Source organism: Homo sapiens, chromosome 1 (genome assembly GCF_000001405.40).
Source record: "Homo sapiens chromosome 1, GRCh38.p14 Primary Assembly".
Lineage (NCBI taxonomy): Eukaryota > Metazoa > Chordata > Mammalia > Primates > Hominidae > Homo > Homo sapiens.
This window is the reverse complement of record NC_000001.11, coordinates 243505667-243526485: the sequence shown is the minus strand read 5'-3', so window position 1 is coordinate 243526485 and position 20819 is coordinate 243505667. Positions and strand designations below refer to the sequence as shown.

Sequence of the window (20819 nt, the reverse complement as noted above, 5' to 3'; positions counted from 1 at the left end):
TAGACGTGACGGAACAGCCATTTTGTAGCTCATTCATGTTGTCTGCTAGACCATCTTATTGGTACGTGGCAGTGGTCAGGCCTGCATCAGCTCCACCTCCTCCTGCATCCTGTTAGCCCTTGAGCCTACTTCTGGGCTGGAGTGTGTGTTTAGCTCCATGATGAAAGTCCCAGCTTTTGCAGGATATCCACACCAGCAAGGTCAGGCGGTACGAATTAACACGGGTTTCAGTCTATCCTCCTGGGCTCCAGCTTGTGCTTCTAGATTCCATTTCATCTTTCCTCTCCTGGCTTTGCTTGCATCTTCGCTTCTCAACTTACTGTCCTATGGACATGAAGCCTCAGCAGTGAACTTGGAGACAACAGCCTTACAGAGACAACATAACTAGCTCCCACAATCAGGGAAATTCAGTTACCTGTAATCTCTTTACACACACACAGAGTAGTTCTGCTTCTCTCATGGAACCGTGACAGACTCTGGTTTTAAGCCTTTTGACTATAATGTGTTTAGGTGAGGTTTTCTATTTATTCTGCTTGGAGTTGCCTGAGCTTTTTGAATCTCTTGCATATCCTTCTTTAACTTTGGAAAACTTTTAGCCATTATTTCTTGAAATATATTTTCTGTCTTATTATCTATCTCTCCTCCTCCCCCTCCCTCCCTCCCTCCCTCCCTCTCCCTCTCTCTTTCTTTCTTTCTTTCTTTCTTTCTTTCTTTCTTACTTTTGGAAGTTGTCCAACAGGTATGAAGTTCTGCTTGTTTTTTCACATTGTTTTCCTGTGCTATTCAAATTGGATAATAATCTCTGCTGGTATATCAAGTTTACTGACTCTTACATAATCTCCAATGTGCTCCAAGCCCATAGAGAGAATTTCTTATTTCAGATATTTTATTTTTTTTTATTTTAGGTTTTTCCATTTGGTCCTTTTCCTAATAGTTTCTGTGTCTCTGCTGAGATTTTCAACTTTTTTACTCATGAACATATTTTACTTTACGTCATTGAAGATAATTATAAAGTTGCTTTAAAGTCTTTGTCTACTAATTTCAACATGAGATCATCAGAGCATCAGTTTCCTTTGATGTCTTTTTCTAGTGTATGGGTTCTGTTTCCTTTGTTTTTTTAATGCTGAGTCATTTTGGAATATATCCTGGGCATTGTGACTGGTATTTTGTGCCTCTGAATTCGGTTAGGTTGCAGCAAAGAATACTGAATTTTTTATTTTCTTAGGCCAGTCATCATGGATGAACTCAAACTGCAAACGCTTTCTTTTTTCCAGTGGGTTAAGATTCCAGGCTGGTTTATTTAGACTTCACTAGGAGGCTTGGAGCCTGCCCTGTGCATGTGTGGTTCAAGAGTCAGAGATCTGGGCAGACTTTATACTGAGATTTTAGGGCTTCTTCTCTTTGGCTGCCTCTTTTCTGGAATTTCACCTCCTTCACTTAAAAGCTGCTGTACTTGTTCAAGCTCTGTCCTCTGATTGTTCATGGCAGTAGAACTGTGGGTTTCTAATTTAAGATTTTTACCCTAAATGGCATAAGCTGGGGCCCACCTTCAGGCAAAAAGCCGTAAAAATGAGAAATTCATTTGGTGCCATTCCTTATTCCTAGTGCCCACCTCCTCTTTAGTACCTGCCTGTTTTTAGTTGCTTCCCAGAACCTTTAGATTGTTTTCATGTCTTTCTCCTGAGGTTACAGTTATATGGAGGAGGGTTAATCCAATCGGAGCTGCTTGACCATGATTGTAAGTGAAACTGAGTATTTGTTCTTAATTATGCATTATTGCATGCCAGATGTACACCTTTTCTTCATGTGGCACAGCAGTGTTTTGTATTCATGCAAGGAAGTATCTCACAGATTCACGTTTGTGCAACCTTCTAAAGAGCTTGTGTGAGAGAGCTTATTTAAACAGTGTGAATTACCAGTGAATGTTATGGTTAGTTCAGTGCAGCCAAAACATAATTCATGGCTGTTCCCCTTCTCTTTTGTCCCAATTCTCAGTAACAAATTCAGACCTCTTTTTAGAGAACGTGTAATTTCATTACCTTTTGACAATGCCTTTTAGACTTCACTAGGGAGCTTGGAGGCTTCCCTGTGCATGCATGGTTCAGGAGTCAGCAGAGGCTGGTGCCTGGTATGTATGGTTCAGGAGTCAGCAGAGGCTGGTGCTTGGTGTTTGGCACCAGTGGCCAAAACACCAAAGAACCTCCTGTGAATATTTTCTTGTCTTTACTCACCAAATATTTAGTGCTTTTCTGTAAGTCATGCACAACATAATGATGCTTCAGTCAACACACCGCATATACCACAGTGGTTCCATAAGATTATAATAGCGTATTTCTACTGTACTTTTTCTACATTTAGATACACAAATACTTACCATTGTGTTGCAGTTGCCTACCGTATTCAGCACTGTAACGTGTACAGGGCTGTAGCCTAGGGCAGTAGGCCATCCCATATGGCCTAGGTGTGTTGTAGGTTACACCATCTAGGCTTGTATGTAAGTACTCTCCATGATGTTTGACAATGACACAATCAACTAACATGCATTTCTCAGAAGAGACCCCTGTCATTAAGTGACACATGACTGTAGTTTATGGTAAGTATTGTGCCAACAGCTAGCCTTGCAGAGATAGCTAAGATAAAGTCCCTGTCTTCAAACGGTTGCTTACAGTTTAGTAGAAGAGACAGATAAATAAGCAGGCGATTTACATTTTCATGTGATGCGGGTTGTGTTTCAGAGGTGGTAGAAGTATTTCAGAGGTTGCCTGACCCAGATTTTAAGAGTAAAGGACCTGTTATAGAAGCTGCAGTTAGGATTGGATTAAAATTAATTGGGTGGTGGTTGATATTGTGATGCTTTAGTATGACTTTAGTATGAATATTTAGGGGCTCAGTGTTTTCTTCATCTTAAAATGAGGGGATTGGACTAGATCTATAAGATTATTTTCAATGTGAATATTTTGTCAGTTTAAAGACACATTGAAGAGATGCTCAAAAAACATACTTCTTTTTTCTTTTTAGGGAATAGAGTATTTCAGATCATTTAAAGTCCTGTTTGAGAGTTTACCAGGCTAACAGGAAGTACTACTTGTGATTTCTTTGCCTGTTCCTGTTCTGATGTTTAGCTGCCCAGTACAAACCTGCAAGGGGAGCCTTGGATATCCAATTGGTTTCTGAAAGGTGTGTGTGTGTGTGTGTGTGTGTGTGTGTGTGTGTGTGTGTGTGTGTTCGTCCTTTTTGGAGCCAGAGCTTCAAAACATAGCTTGCATCTTCTGTGTCCTTCATAAAATTCCAGTTGGTTTCCTGCATTCACTTAATTAGTACAGCACCTGGGCATAGTAGCTCTGGATAAATACAGGTTCTTTTCTCCAATAGCTTCCTTGCAGAACATAGAAATTGCTGCCTGCCCCTATGCCTCAAATTGACCTTCTACCTCTTCCTCCTCAGCTTTTAAAGCCCCTATCTTTCCTTCTCACCACAAGTTCATCCCCCAACCCAAATGTTCCCTATCACTGGGTCTCTCCAGCATTCATCTGGTGTGGTATTAAGAGAGTGGCTGTGGCTGTCAGTGCTAGAACCTGGACAGAGAGAGAGAGAGGGTCTTGGTCACGTCATCTTTACAGAAATATAATAGGAATTTCTCTATAAAAATAATAGATACTTGTTAGAAGCTTTAATGTTATATTTTTTATTTATTTCTGGTTTAATAGACCTTAATGTTACTGCCTAGTAACCTACCTACATTATATAGCCTTTCTGTGTATGTGTGTGTATCTATTGAAACAGGTCCCAAGTTTTTTCCAGTTTATATGTAGGCTGCATTTTTCTTTTCTTTTCTTTTTTAAATTTTTGAGCCAGGGTCTCTCTCTGTCACCCAGGGGAGTGCAGTGGCGCAATCACAGCTCACTTCACCCTCAACCTTCCACCTCAGCCTCTCAAGTAGCTGGGATCACAGGCACATGCTACCATACCTGGGTAATTTTTAAATTTTTTTGTAGAGATGGAGTCTCTCTATGTTACTCAGGCTAGTCTTGAACTCCTGGCCTCAAGTGATCTGCCCAACTTGGCCTCCTACATTGTTGGAATTATAGGCGTGAGCCACTGTGCCCAGCCTTACATATATAGGCTTTTATAACAAAATTAGCTTGTAAGTTGGAAATTGCCTTTATGTCATTTCTCCCCAGTCTGCATACTTATTCAACTTTTGCTCATGTTCTTGAATATTTCTAAGAGAAATAGTGATTAATGGCTGCCACACTGCTGATGTTGGACAGAGCCTATAAAATCAGCTGAAGAAGGGAGAAAGTAGATTGTTTCACTAGGCTCTTAGTGAAGTTCTGATAGTTATAATAAATGCAACTTGTCCTTTAACACTACTAGGTGCAAAATCTTTTTGTTACCCTCTCATGCCTTTTAAAAAGGCTCCCAGTGTTTCACTAATGAGAGCCCTTTTGTTGTAATTTATAGGTGAATCCTCTCCAGGTATAACTGAGATCTTCAAATAATGTATCGTATCTATGGATGTTTGTGAATAACATCACCTGGGCATAAACCTACAGTCAATAGGATGAGTGCTTATGAAGTTATTTTTGAATGAGAAAATTTATCACAGAAAAGAAAATACAAGTTCCAGTTTCTGGGGATTACTTTTTAAAGTAATGCAAATCATCCATATCATGTGTTAACAAACCCCTCAGAATTCCAACAAGGAAAGCAGATGTATTAATTAAACATTTAATGTCTTTTATAGTTAAAGTACTCATTTTGGCAGGTCTAATATTACGATACAATAGTGGTATATTAATTTGTTATATACCTTGGGCCCCTTGGTACATTTTATGTAGGCACAAGATTAACAGCATGAACTTCAATTATTACTGTGTAGTTTTGTAAAAATGAAATATAATTATTTTAGTTTCTAGTTTTATGTCAAGAAGAATTCATTGGTATGGCACAGCTTAGCATACAAAGTAACTAAATAATGTATGCCACATACCCATTAGTTTTGTTAGAAATAAATCCTCTTTTATACTCCTGCTTTTCCAGTACATGCACACCTACATATACACAAAGCGTGAAGCCAGTATTTAGTAGAGATTAAATAAACCAGAATCTCCACCTATGATTGACTACTTTCTCATGTTGTTTCAGAGAAGTGAAAATTATAGCACCAGATTACTGTCTCTGGGAAATCTAAACATGCAATAGTGTTGGCAATTCTTTACTGCAAACATCTATGTTCACTGGATTTTGGACCCTATATGCCAACACAAAGTGGTGGAAATAACCACAGTTGTTAAGGCAATTAAGATACCACAATCACTGTCCACATCAGCTGTCCCAGAAAGTTTCAAGTTCTCCAGTCTATTTCTTAAGCCCCTGGAAGGAACAATAGAAGAAAGAATATAGATATCTGATAGTAGCACGTGACTTGTTACTAAAAAAGGTCTGTGGAATCTCTTACCTTCAGAGACCTTGGTGTTCATGCATACACTCATGGAATCATTCCAGCCATACCAGAAATACCAAATGTGACTTACTCTAACAACCTTCAGAAAATTATCTCTTTGTTCTTTCATTGACACTTTTAGGAAGATAGTAAATGGTAGAGTGATTTCATAGCATTTAAAATTTGATAAAAGATCAGTGTGGAAAGAATTTAGGGAGCTTCAACGTTGCTGTCACCATACGGACTTGAAGTTGCATATTTTCAGTGAGATGAAATTGATGTCTTGAACCCAGAAACTTTATCCTCTTGTTTAAGATCACTGAATACTACATTTTCTGAAAGCAAATTGGTTTTCAAATAAAGATTTGTTTCAAGTTTAGTGCATTTGTCAGAAAAATATGTTGTTTGCAGTTAATGACACTATAGCTGTTCATTGAGTTGATCCATAAAAGTAGCTGAGATTTACAGAAATATATATGACTATCTTTTCTAAATGGGAATTTACATTCAGTCAGTTGACAGAAATGTTTTGAGAGATGTGGTTAGAGGAAAAGAAGAGATGAAGATACTGGTTTAAAGCTGAAATAGGAAATTAATGTATTTATGTGCTAGGGCTGCTGTAACAAAATACCACAGACTGGGTGGTTTAAACAACAGAAATTCATTTTCTCATATTTCTGGCGAAAGTCCAAGATCAAGGTGCAGGCAGGGTTAGTTTCTTCTGAGGTGTCTGTCCGTGGCTTGCAGATGGCCGTCTTTTCCCTGTGTCTTCATATGGTTTTTCCTTAGTGTGTCTACTTGGGTGTCCAAATTTCCTCTTCTTGTAAAGATACCAGACTGAGTTAAGACATATCCTGATATCTCATTTTAATGCAGTTACTTTTTTAAAGACCTTATCTCCAAATAGAGTCACATTCTGAGGTACTTGGGGTTAGGGTTTAAACATACTAATTTTGGAGGGACACATTTCAACCTATAATAATACAATATTTGAAATTTGTTCAGCTGTTGTTTAAAGTAAATATGAGGGGACTTCAAAAAGTTCATGGAAAATGGTATTAAAAGATAAAAACAGAAAATATAAACTTTATTTCTCAACATAAGCTCCGTCAAGTTCAAGACACTTTTGTAAGCCATGATACCAGCTAGTTAGTTCATCCCTAAAGAGCTGAACATCCTGGTAATTTACCTATATCAGTGCAGTCTTTTTTTTACATTATTAAGTGAAGAAAAACTAATACTCTTTAAAAGCTTTTTTAAGTTTAGGGGAAAAATAAGTCAGAAGGAGCCAAATCAGGACTGTAAGGTGGATGCCTAATGATTTCTCATGAAAGCTCTCATGAAATACCCCTGTTTAATGAGAGGGATTTAGCAGGAGCATTATCTTGGTGGAGGAGGACTCTCTGGTGAAGCTTTCCCAGAAGTTTTTCTGCCAAAGCTTTGGCCAACTTTCTCCAAGTGCTTATAATCAGGTGTTATCATTCTCCTGCCCTCCAGAAAGTCAATAAGCAAAATGCCTTGAGCACCCAAAAAACTGTTGCCATGACCTTTGCCCTTGACCTGTCCAATATTGCTTTGACTGGACCATTTCCACTTCTTCATACCCATTGCTTTATCTTCAGGATTATACTAATAGAACCATGTTTCATCTCCTGTTACAATTCTTCAAAGAAATGCTTCAGGATCTTTATTCCACTTGTTTAAAATTTCCATTGAAAGTTCTGCTCTTGTCTGCAGCCGATCTGGGTGCAATGGTTTTGGCACCCATCAAGTGGAAAGTTTGCTCAACTTAAATTTTTCAGTCAGAATTCTGTAAGCTGAACCAGATGAGATGTCTATGGTGTTGGCTGTTGTTTCTGCTGTTAATCATTGGTCCTTTTGAATTAGGGCACAAACAAGATTAATTTTTTCCCTTGCAAATTGATGTGGATGGTCTGTCGCTGCTGGCTTCGTCTTCCACATTGTCTCATCCCTTCTTAAAATAAGTTATCCATTTTTAGACTGCTGATTTATTTGGGGCATACTTCCCATAACTTTTCATAAAGCATCAGTGATTTAATCATTCTTCCACCCAAGCTTCACCATGAATTTCATGTTTGTTCTTGCTTCAATTTTAGAATTCATGTTGCTCTTACAGGGGCTCTGTCCAAACTGATGTCTTATCCTTCTTAGTCCCTCAAACTTGATCCTGTACAGTCATGTTATAACAAATCAGTATGAGTTAATTTTGGTGCAGAAATTTTTTGAAATCTGTGCATGGTTTTTTCATAATACACATTTTCCATAAAGTTTATGAAGACTACTCAAGAATATTATATATTCTAGAAATTTGTAATGAAATCTGAAGTTGGGGCATTCTGATGATTTTTGTGGGACTGCTTCTGTTCAAGTACTGTGGCAGTTTTTTTTTGTTGTTTGACGAGGTCTTGCTCTGTCACCCAGGCTGGAGTGCAATGGCATGATCTCGGCTCACTGCAACCTCCACCTCCCAGGTTCAAGTGATTCTTCTGCCTCAGCCTCCCAAGTAGCTGGGACTACAGGCATGTGCCACTACACCCAACTAAATTTTGTATTTTTAGTAGAGATGGGGTTTCACCATGTTGGCCAGTCTGGTCTCAAACTCCTGATCTGCCTGCCTCAGACTCCCAAAGTGCTGGGATTACAGGCATGAGCCACTGCACCCAGCCATACTGAGGCAATTTTTTACAAGCCCTACCCGACAATGTTCCCCATATACATAATGTAGGGTCTTTGCTTCCCTACAAATGTTTATATTCCACTGAGTTGTCTTCACCTTCAGGGACAGGGGAAGTGGAAGGGGGAATAATGCTTCCTAGAATGAATATCTTGACTAATGTATAGAGAAACAATCAAAAGCAAAAGTAGTTTTCATTCAAAGCCTTCACATTGTAAATGCTACAGTAAAAAGACCTTGAGATCAAGAAACCTAGGTTTTTGCCGCTCCAGTTCTTATTCGTATAATTTTTGGCAAGCCATTTAACCAGTGTCAGCTTTAATTTCCTGATCTCTAAAAAGGTACACTACATGCTCACTGACGTCTTACTCAGCTGCAAGACTGAATGATTGATTCATTTATTCCGCAAATATTGTTGAATGCTACTATGTGGCAAGGACTGTTTTAGGAGTTGGGAATATCACATTAGTGCAACACAAAGTTCCAGAGGAGACAAGTGGGAAACAAATAGCAAGATGGTAAATTTAATCTTACTCGTATCAATAATCACATTAAATGTAAATGTTCTAAACACCACAATTGAAAGACAGAGATTAGACTTGGTAAAAAGCAAGAACTACCTATATGCTGCTTATAAGAAACCAACTTTAAATGTAAGATATAAGTAGATTAAAATTAATAGAACAGAAAATTATATACTATGCTCAACCTAATCAGAAGAAAACTAGAGTGCTATATTAAATCATATGAAGTAGATTTCAAAGCAAGTAATATTGCTGGAGATAAGGAGGAACATTTCATAATAATTAAGGGAGTCATTTCATCAAGAAGTATTAACCGTCTTAGTTATGCATCTAATAACAAAACAAAATATTTGAAGCAAAAACTAATATAAGGAAAAATAGACACATTTACAGTTACTATTGGACAGTTCAATATCCATCTTCAAATAATTGATACAGCAATTGGAGAGAAATTGGTAAGGTTATATAGCAACTTGGGCAATACTATCAGTCAGCTTGATCTAACTGACATTTATGGAACACGCTACCCAACAGCATAAGAACACTTATTTTTCTCAAGGTCACAGATCATTTATCACAGTGTACCATATGTTGAGCAAAACAACTCCATGAATTTTAAAGGATTTAAGTACTGTAAAACATTTTCTCTTTGAAGGAAATGAAATTAAAAAAACACAGATCTATGGAAAATCCCCAAGTTCTTGGAAACTAAATATTAATCCATGGATCAAAGAAGAAATCAAAGGGAAATGAGAAAGTATTTTGAATGGACTGAAAACGAAAACACAATGTGTTTAGCTGTGATATACAGCTAAAGCAATACTTAAATTTATAGTACTAAATACAATTTATAGTACTAAAAGATATTTTTAAACATTAGAAAAGAAGAAAAGTGTAAAATTAATGACCTTAGCTTCTATCTTAAGAAACTAGGACTGGGCACAGTAGCTCACAACTATAATCTCAGTACTTTTGAAGGCCAAGGTAGAGGAGTTCGAGACTAGTCTGCACAACATAGTGAGATCCCATCTCTAAATAACAAAATATTAGCTGGGCATACTGGTGTGCACCTGTGGTCATAGCTGCTCAGGAGGCTGAGGCAGGAGGATTGCTCAAGGAGGCTGAGGCAGGAGGATTGCTTCAGGAGGCTGAGGCAGGAGGATTGCTCGAGGCCAGGAGTTTTGAGGCTTCAGTGAACTATGATCACATCCCTGCACTCTAGCCTGGGTGACAGAGCCAGATTTTGTCTCTAAAAAACAAGAAAAAGAAAAAGGAATTAGAAAAATAAGAACAAGTTAAACACAGTGTAAGCAGAACAAAGGAAATAAAGATTGGGATAGCAATCAATGAAATAGAAAACAAAAAATCATAGAGAAAATTGATGAAAGGAAAACTGGGCTTTTGAGAAGATCATTAAAATTGATGTATTTCTCACCTGACTGAAAAGAAAAGTGAGAAGACAAATAATAAATGTTGACACTGCTACAGATTCTATTGGTATTAAGTGGATAATATGGAAGCATTATGTATAACTTTATGCCAATAAATTCAACTATTTAGCTGAAATGGACACATATGTTGAAAGATACAAATTACCAAGAAGAAATAGATGTCATGAATAGCCTTGTACCTGCTAAAGAAATTATAGTTGTGGTTAAGATCCTTCTGACAAAGACACCAGACCCACATATTTTCACCAACGAAGTCTACCAAACATTTAAGGAATATTATCAGTTCTATACAAATTATTCCAGAAAATTGAAGATGAGAGAACATTTCTCAGTTCATTCTGTGAGGCAGGTATTAACTTGATATCAATATGCAAGAGATTTTTTTTTTTTTTTGAGATGGAGTCTTGCTCCGTCGCCCAGGCTGGAGTGCAGTGACGCGATCTCAGCTCATGGCAAGCTCCGCCTCCCGGGTTCATGCCATTCTCCCGAGTAGCTGGGACTACAGGCACCTGCCACCACAGCCGGCTAATTTTTGGTATTTTTAGTAGAGACGGGGGTTTCCCATGTTAGCCAGGATGGTCTTGATCTCCTGACCTGGTGATCTGCCTGCCTCGGCCTCCCAAAGTGCTGGGATTACAGGCATGAGCCACCACACCTGGCCCGCAAAGAGATTTTTAAAAGAATGCTATAGACCAATATTCTTAATGAATATATATGCTAAAATGTTTAATTTAATTTTAGCAAATCAAATCTAACAATAGATACAAAGAATCACTACCAGTGTGGTCTGTTCTAGGAATATAAGATTGATTTAACATTCAAAACCAATCACTATAGTTCACCTATTAACAGAGTACGAAGGAAATGATTATATCAAATGATGCAAAGAAAAAACTAAGAAAAATCCATCCTTTTTAAAACTTATTTAAACAAAAAATGAAACGCTCTGAGTGAATTAGGAATTGGGTTTTTTTTTTTTTTAACATGGTAAAGGAAAACAATTTGACAGTTTCTGGAAAAGTCAAATGTATACCTACCATACGGCCCAGCCATTCCACTCCTTAGTATTTGTCCTAAATAAATTAAATCATATGTCTACACAAAGACGTGGACATAAAAGTTAATAGCAATTTTGTTTGTAATTGCCCCAAACTGGGAGCAGGCCCTGTGTTCATTGACAGATGAGTGTGTCCATTGTGATACATCTATGTACTGAAATATTACCCAGCAAAGTGAGTAAACTATTGATACATGTGGTGACATGGATGAATATCAAAGTAATAATGCTAAATGAACAAGCCAGATAAAGAGTACATACTCTATGATCCATTTGCATAAAATTCTTTAAAATACAAGCAAATCAGTCATGGCAGAAAGTATGTCAGTCATGGCCTGCAGGGGATGGGAGGATGGAAGTACACATGGGCACAAGAAGACATTTGAAGTGGTAGATGTTTTCATCATCTTGATTTTGGTGACAGTTTCATGGGTATATACATATGTCAAAACGTATCAGTTGCATGTTTTTTGTTTGTTTTTTTGAGAGGGTTTTACTCGTTCGCCCCGGCCGGGTTGGAATGCAATAGCATAATCTTGGCTCACAGCAACCTCTGCCTTCTGGGCTGAAGTGATCCTTCCACGTCAGCCTCCCAAGTAGCTGGGACTACAGGCGCCCGCTGCCACACCCAGCCCAAGTTGTATATTCTTAATGTGTGCTGTTTAGTGTATGTTAATTACGCATCAATAAACTTTTTTTTAAAGTCCTTGCCCTCGTGGAACTTATATTTTATTGGTGATGAACATTGACAGTAACAAATACATGTATATCATATGTGTGCATGTATACGTGCCTGTGTATCAGATGTCGCAAAGTCTTGAAGAAAAAGCAATGTGAAGATAGAAAGTGAGGGGGAGGATAGCTGTTTAATGTAAGAAGGCGGTCAGGAAAGTCCTCAGTACACGTGGCATTTGAAACAGAGACTATTTTAAGCTCCCCTATAATCTTTTGAAAACTGTGTTAAGATAGGTTTCAGTTTGTTAAAGTTACAGGTCATCATTCTCTCATCTAAAAGGACAAGTTTCCCCTAACTTGAAGGCAAATTTAAATTTTTGACATCACAAAGAACCAGATGAAAAGGATGGGGCAGAGGTGAGCAAACCTACTCCTAGTGCCCAAGAGAAGCCGATTCCAGCCACAGGAATTTCTTGTGGTTAACTTCTGATTGGAAAGATAAAGACCTATTTTGTGAACATCTGTAGAATAGTAAATCAGAAAAACCCAACCAGAATTCCAGTCTTCCCGTTTTCTGCCAGATAGGGGCAATTACCCCCTTGGTTTTCTAAAAAAAATAAAAAAAACAAAATTGTTCCAGCCTCTGTCACCTCTGGGGTTCCCTGTGCGTGTGCATGTGATATGTGAGGCTGGTGTGGAGAATTTAGCCTGAGAGTCAGAGGGAGGGTTTCTAGCAGTGGAGTGACCTGCTTGCTCATGTCCAGGGGATCCAGCAGGGCAGCTAGAAAGAAATATGGTCTGGCACAATGGCAGGCTTCTCCTTGCCACTGGTGGAGGAGTTTGTTTCAGTTTAGGGATTAGTCGCCATTACCAGCTGATCAGTGGAACGTAGAGTTGGTTCATCCCCAAAGGAGTGCTTGCTAATCATGAAGACCTTAGAATAGCTGTGTGCTGGGGGTAAACAGAAAGAATTATAAAAAGAAGAGATTAAGAATGCTTTGTAGCATGTACCATAAACTGAAATGTCCCTTATTTTGAAAACCTGCTTTTAATTCTGCTCATCCCACGATTCTTAAAAATATAGTTCTGTCTAGAGAATAATTTAAAGATTTTCCTTATTATTTAACATACATTTGGTGACAGAAAGAGTGGGAAAATGCACTGATCTCAAGCCAATTGTGTATTTGTTTTTGTAAAATTTTTATAAAACATGCTGATTTCTGTCATTCTGTTTGCCATGTTCCTATCCCCGTGAGAACTGTATTCTAAAGCAGCATCCCCTGTTCTGAATGATACTCTGCAGAGCACGCACTCTGACCCTAATGCTCTGGGACTGGGCATCCTGTGCTAGAAGGAACCTGTGGGTTCCACCTGTCCCTCAAGGCTAGAGCCCTGAGAAGCAGGAGCCTCGTGTTAGCTCCTTCTCCCTCCCAACCAGTGGAGGTTCACAGGGCTCCGGCTCCTGAAACCTCCAGTAGCCCGAGACTTTCCTTCCACCCCCACCTTCCCTAACGCCATGCCTGCCGCAGGTGCAGTGCGAATGAGATGATTCCTGCCCTGTCAATCTCAGGGGAGCTACTCTTAATCTCTTCTGGGCTGTGGTCCCCTTTGAGGATCTGATGAAAGCTGTGGGCAAGATTTTGCATGTAACGTCAGGGGCTACCAGGAAACCCTTTTCCAGAGCAGGGCAGGCATCAATGCCCATCTCTTATCAGCAAATTCTTAGCAAAGTACAAAGTTGTAGTTCTTTACGAAGGGCAAAGGCAGCACTCTCATCTGTAACCTGGTGATAGCTGTATTATTAAGTTGTATTTTTATTACTACCCTCTTCAGCTAGCACTAGAAAGAGGTTGCCCGAGGAAGAGCCCACATCCTGGCACACTGCTCCCCATCAATATGGTTTTGCATGTATGTTTGTTATTGGGGAAAAAAACCAGCACAGATTTTTCAATATCCCTCTCCCGTCCTATTCAATGGTTTTCTTTTGTTGTTTTTCGTGATCCATTAGATTTTATACAGAACCACCAATTACCCACCGGTTGGTTTAGACTGTTGACTGGGAAGCCAAATATCATGTCTCCCTTACCCAGCGACTCAGCATTGTAGACTTTTGTTCTGTTCATTTAACTACGTGCTCTCTGCTTTTTTCCTAGAAAGGAATTTTCCTGAATTGAAATCAGTTAATAAAACTCTTTTTCTTTCTTTTTACAGCTTGTACCTCCTTTTAAACCTCAAGTAACATCTGAGACAGATACTAGATATTTTGATGAAGAATTTACAGCTCAGACTATTACAATAACACCACCTGAAAAATGTAAGTAAATTTAGAAGGCAATTGATAAATTTCTAATATAATTTCTCCTAATGTAATTGAAGAAAACAGTCTTTTAAAAACTCATCTGATATTTTCAAGATCAAATTCCACAGTGACTTACTCCATTCTATTTAAGAATATTGAATATTGAATTGAATTTAAGAATATTGAGTTCCCAGTGGTAATATCAAAAGACTGCAAGAAATGCTTTTCTGGGTAGGACAAATTATATAGAGAGAAATTGTAGATGAAATTACAGACTAGCTCTTCCTTACTGTTCACCAATAGATTGTTTTGACACCAACTGAAAGGATTGTGAAATAGAGACTCCCCTCTTTCCTAGACTTCGTTCATTCCCACATAACCTTCAGAATTTTGCCAGTTTTGGTCTCCTACTTACTTAATAGTTTTAAAATTCATGTAGAGTCACTCCTTTTTACTTAGCTCTCTCTTAAATAGTATTATCTGTGAAGACATAATTTAGTTTGCTAATACTTTTGGATACCTATAAATTACATATTTATGAAAACTGTGTGTTCATGTACCACTTCAAGTCAATTCATATACATTAGTATGTCTCACACTTGGAGAAATACCATAAATAAGTGGAGCTGTAATGAGGGAAAAGGTGATCAGACATAATTGATAAACATTTTCATGCTGACAGAGGTCTGTGTGTATCATCATTAACTTAAGAATGTGGATAAGATTGCGTTTCAGGGCAATATTTGGATGGCTGCAAGAATGCTTCAAGTTACACATCTTTGGGTTCACATCATAGTTTTTCTTTCCTTTTCTTTTTGATTCCTTCCCTATATGTCTTCTCCTCTCATTCCTTTTTTGGAGGCAGATTTATCCATAGTGCTGATGTGGACTCAGTGTCCGGGAGAGGGGCGATTGGAGGCTAATGCTGTGCCAGAGATGGTCACAGGCAGCAGATTCTACTGTCGAGAGGCAAACAAGGGGTCATGTGGGCCAAGAGGTCTTAATCTTGGGACCATGGTCTGGCCACAAGGGGATTGTGAACACCCTGAAAGTGAAGATATGATGACGTGTGTGTGCTTTTCTTTCTTTAGATTCACAAAAAGTTAAGGTGCTCCAGGTCCTGAAGTTGGGTCAGCCATAGCCAGAAGCAGGGCTTACCAACTTGACCGATGTCCAGGCTAAGTTGTGAAATACCAATCCATTGAAGTGAGCTACTCATGGTCAGTCCTGTGGTGAGGCAGAGTTTCCACTCAATCTTGTGCCATTGCTAGAATTTTAGAATCACTAAGAGTCACAGACAATGTTGGAAAGCCTGTGGAGTCATGGGCAAGTAGCTCAGCGCTGAGTAGAAATCATGGGCATAGGCCTTGGCCTCTGTCCCCAGCATAGACTGTGGCATTAGAATTGTCCAAAATGCTGGGTAACACCAGTGAGTTTTCGGATCGGCCCATGGGCAGTTCCTGCCATACAGCCTTTGCTAGGCCCTTTCATTTGGATATAATCCTAACTGTAATCAGACCACATCATTCCTCTGCTTAAAACCTTCCGGTGCCATCCCATTGCACTCTAAATCCAAACTTGCTCACACTGGTTTGCACAGCACTGACTGATCTGGGCCCTGTCCACCTCTCTGACCTCTTCCTGTTCCATCTTCCCCCACTGTCCCTGGGTTCCAGCCACACCTCGAACATGCCACACGTCACCATGCCTCGGGCTCTGGGGACAGTATTTATGGTGTCCAGGCCTGGAATGCTCTTCTTCCCTGATCTTACTTGGATGGCTCCTTCTTGTCCTTCAGCTCTAAGCTTACATGTCATTCCATCAGAGAACCTTCTTTGACCTCCTAGTCTGAAGAGCATCAGTCTGACAACATTCCCTCTCTCTCTTCATTCTCTGCATTGGCACCTTGACTTGCTGGTATTTTTCTGTTTGTTTGGTTAGTGTCTATTTCCGCCACTAACATGCAGTGGGTTGGAGAGGAAGGATCTAGTTTGTCTCATTCGTTATTAGCCCAAGCTCCTAGTTAGATGCCTGGCACAGTGTGCGTATTCAATAATACTTGTTAGGTGCATGAATACACAGAATATGGTGAGGGCCTAGGAACTTCAGAGCCGGGAGGACACCCAGGCTTGCCTCCCCTCTGAATATCCAAAGCAGATATTGGGATAGGAAGGTCTTGACAGGTCTCTTTCCTCAGTCTCAGCCTCTGAGAAAGTTTCCATTCTTAAATAGAGCATTTGGCATTTGCGTACCTTTAGAGCAAGTAAATATGTTATTTTGGAAGTCATAGAAATAAGAAGGCTCTAAAATGTCAAGCCAGGAGTAGATATTTTACTTAAGAAAGCTAAAAGTGAAATCCCAATTTGGGACATGGAGTGAGGCTGAAAAAGCCCAGGACTCAGACCTGGGGAACCTGCCTTGTGTCCTGCCTGTGCCCCTTACAGTTCTGGGCGATGGCCGGTCACTTTGTCCCCTGGAAAAGCAGGGAGCAGGGCTGATAGTCTCTCAGTGGCGTTTTTGTCCTCCCGTGTGCCTGAGAAGCCGTCTCTTTAGGAGAGGCACCGAGAGTTCTGCCAATTTGAATCACCCTATTTTCAATTCTGCTCAAGCACCAGATTGGCTAGTCCATAGTGTTACTGTATGCTGTGGGCCAGTCCATTTAGGGGGATGATAGGCCCAACGCAGCAAGCACCTGGCTGCAGGGGTGGTGTAGTGGAGGGCCGGCGGACAGGGCTGACTAATGCGATGCTCAGAAATGTGAGACTAGAAAGACCAGAGCAAATCAAAATGGATTTGGGTACAAATAAGGTCAATTAGAAACTGTTGTATATGACTCTTAGGCTAGTCAGTCATTTTTTCATGATTGACTTGAATTTCAAAGCCCTAGCTTTCAAGGACCAGAATCTCTTCGAAATTCATCTTACCTGCTTTATTCCTTACTCGACACCCGCGGGGCACTTGTCCTGATGAGAATTTGTCATTAGTGTGCATTTTATTGCTCAATCTCTAGGACTTCTAAAATGAGACTGAAATGTTAGAAGGTGTTAGAAGTCCCCCAGCACAGTTTCTAGAACATAATTTGAACCTAGTTCCTTGGCTTCATTAATCAGCAATATAAAAGCCATCAAGAATGTTTTTCCTGGCATGTCATATTTTACCACTGACAGCACCTCTGTTCTTAAATAACATGTGTCATTTCAGACATGGATCATGCTGTAAAAGCCCTACAACCTTGGTGTCTTTAAATGATAATAGGTTCACTTCTAGATTGAGACAGAGATACCTAGGAAGCCTGTACATTGTAGTAACTTTCAAGATGGTTATCAAAATCCACCTGCAATTGTAGGACCACAAAAGTCTGGCTTTTGTCTAGGCGCAGTGGTGCACACCTGTAATCCCAGCACTTTGGGAGGCCAAGGCGGGTGGATCACTTGAGGTCAGGAGGAGTCTGAGACTAGCCTGGCCAACATGGTGAAACCCCCTCTCTACAAAAAAAAATACAAAAATTAGCCAGACGTGGTGGTGCATTCCTGTGATTCCAGCCACTCGGGAGGCTGAGGCAGGAGGATCGCTTGAACCCGGGAGGCAGAAGCTGCACTGAGCTGAGATCACAACATTGCCCTCCAGTCTGGGTGACAGAGCAAGACTCTGTCTTTTAAAAAAAAAAAAAAAAAAAAAAAAAAGTCTGGCTTTTGTGGGTGTCAGAAATGGGGTGTGGTCCTGCCCTGCTCCTGGGCCCTGGACAGTACGGAAACGAGAGCCCAGCAATGTCATCTGTTTCTGACAGGGCACACCGCAATTGAGGGGTGGGGAGGGCGCTATGGACTTGCTGTGTTTTTCCCTATTCAGGACCTCTGTAGCAAGGAAAGTCAGACGGAAGAGCTCAGCAGAGTATGCCCAGGCAAAGACTAGCATCGACGCATCTGCAGGCACCTCTGTTCAGCAGCCTCTCCTGCTGTCTGTGTGGCTCAGCAGAGCGCAGCGCTCAGCACTGGGGGCCATGGGGCCCTGGGCTTCCTGTCTTAGGGGAGCAGCCTTGATGGTGGTTAACTGCAGCTTCTGGGTTCTTCTAGGGCAACGGGGCAGTATTTTTAGTTTGACAGTTCCTGGATACATCCTAGATTCCCTTAAGGAGCAGATAAAATGAGAATCACTGAAACCTTGAACGGTGATTACATTCAACATAACCTTTTTCTTGCAGCTTTGAATAGTTTAACTGGTAAGAAACCGTTGCAGCTCCCTAAGTGCTAACACACAGAGGTTTTGTTGATAAAAGTCCAGGGTAGTACCATTCGTTAGCAATTGTCTTCCCACTTGCCACCTTGCTTGTATAAAACAGAATACAGTTATTGTTTAGAACAAATCAGCAGTTAGAAAGGCAAAATGTTCCATTTTCTACAAACAGCTGCAGTGACATGCCAGATTGTCCTCACTGGCGTTAATAATGGAACAGATTTGGGAATGTGTCATCTTTCGTTATCGCCATTGATGGTCCTCCTCCTTCCTCTTACAGAAAAAGAGGGTTTCTTTGAGATCTGGTCGCTTTTACTGCCATATAATGCCATTTGTTAAATGTTCTAAGAAAATCAGGCAACTGATGTTCCTTGGATGCAGGGATTCAAGGGATGTAGCAAGTAGAGTTGATCATTGTCTTCTTTTTCCAGATAAGTGTTTTTGAAAAACATAGTTCATGTTCATTATCATCACTATTCCCTATGCACAGCCTCTCACAGCAGGAACTAACTTGTGTACATTGACAGGCTCCGACTCAGAGTCAGCTGCCACTTCCTCCAGCTCCCCTCCCACCGCAGCCCCTGCCCAGGCTCTCAGCTCTTTTAGGGCCATGATCAGATGTTCACGCCTCATTGTTTCCAAGCCTGACAACAGAAAGGGGCAGGAATGATGGAGGGAGATCATTGGCTTTAAAGAATATCAAGGATTGGGGCCCTCAGGGATATCTGTGAAATTTCCTAGATTCAGAATTGTGATGAATGTGTTACTGAAGTGACAGAATGAAGGCTGTCTCTCAATTCTTAGCTGACACCAGCAAGAGTCCCTCCTCTTCCAAAAGGGTGTCTAGCACCTGCCCCTGTTGAGCATCTGGCTAACCTGGGTGCTGAACCTCGCCGGGCTGGAATGAGTCCTGGCCATGGCCCCAGGAGTCCAGGCAGCTCCTGCCCTTCCTGGCTGAGCAGGACAAGCACCAGGCTCCCCACTGCTGTCCAGAGCCAGCTGCAGGTTTGCTGTGCAGAAACACTGAGTAAAATAAAGCTGTTGGTGAGGAAAATTGTTTATTTGAAATGTGATTGGCTCATGTCAGAATCTGAACATTAAGGTTTTAGCTGCCCGTATTCTCTAGAGAGTTTTTATACTCTGGGGCTCAACCACGGGTACACCATCATTCCCAGCTCCTTCCGTTTTTACTGTAGCTAAAAATACTGCTGAAGGTATTTGATCTAAAAGATGTGTGTGACTTGCTTGGTACAAATATTGGAACCAATAACTTTATAAGGAGGTAGAGATTTCCCCAAATCTCAATACCTTCTAGAAATGCTGACTGCAGTTACAGTGGTCTATTTGCAGAAGAAGAGAGGGCCTCCGAGTTCAGTGTCTTACACAGAGCAGGGAGCCACAAATGCTTCTTGATGGATCAGTTCTCACCTAATACGAGGATATCTTCTGGTACATTAGGGGTCAGAAATTTTGGCTAATGCCAGCTTGATCCCATTTCTAGAATCTTCTGCATTAAGAGTGGGATACAGAAAAGAAAAACAGTGATACAAGAATGGAAGTGTTTATTCTTCAGACAAAGGCAGAGCCCCCTCCTCTTCGGAGTGACAGAGTCAGAGCCTCAGTGCAGTGGGATCTGGCCTGTATGCTTTCTTTGTTTACACCCACATCCAGCGGATGCTCCCTGGAGAGGTTAGAATATTCAAAAAAATTGGTAATGTACTTCCTATATGGGTTTGAGGACATCGAATTATTTTGCTTGAAGAGAAAAGGGTTGAGTATTGGAAAGATTCACTGATTTCCATTGCAGGACAGCATATGATTAAACAAGCTTAGAGGCAAGCACGGGGGATTTAAAATGGAGCACCTCCCCCAGGAGACTGTGAGGCCAGGGGGCCCTTGGGACTTTGTTCAAAGTTCTGCGGTCCTTGGGCCTGACGGGTGCTCAGCCCAGAGCAGATGCGTGGGAGCGCATGTTGACTGAGTGGCTGACCACGTGGCCACATACCAGGAAGAGCTTCCAACAGCACAGGACTGTCATCACAGGACATTTATGAGAACAGGGTGCTGATCATCTGTGATCTTTGAAATACAGGAAACCAGGAAAGCTGACAGGAGGAACACTGTGATTGTCAGCGGCCTGTTTTGATGCCTTTCAAGTCTCTTCCATTGTTTCCTGATGAGCTAGGACTCAGATGTTGACATCCTTCCCTCTTTTTCTTTCACTTAGTCCCTTCATGCTAAAGTTTTATCATAGGGAAATTGGGAAAGGTGAGTTAAGCCAGATGCTAGATGTTGAATGAAATTTCATAAGAAGCTTTATTTTGCAGTTGCACTTAAAGCATCACAAAGAAAAAATATAAGCACTTGAAGACATTCGATGATGAATTCTATACAGACTTTGGATGCTGTGGATTTCACTGACTTGCAGTTTTGATATAT

General features: G+C 40.5%; 1 protein-coding gene across 11 annotated transcripts in view; it reads left to right on the top strand.

Moving 5' to 3' along the window:
- Positions 1 to 20819, top strand: part of AKT3 (AKT serine/threonine kinase 3) — a 362847-nt gene that overhangs the window by 324594 nt on the left and 17434 nt on the right. For 10 of the 11 annotated variants that reach the window (NM_181690.2, NM_001370074.1, XM_047420641.1 and 7 more), the window contains one exon: positions 14060 to 14162. In NM_181690.2, coding sequence (NP_859029.1) covers positions 14060 to 14162 — 103 coding nt within the window. Of the gene's footprint in view, positions 1 to 905; positions 1039 to 14059; positions 14163 to 20819 lie in introns of those variants that run through there. The other variant, XM_047415643.1, reaches the window with a different exon arrangement.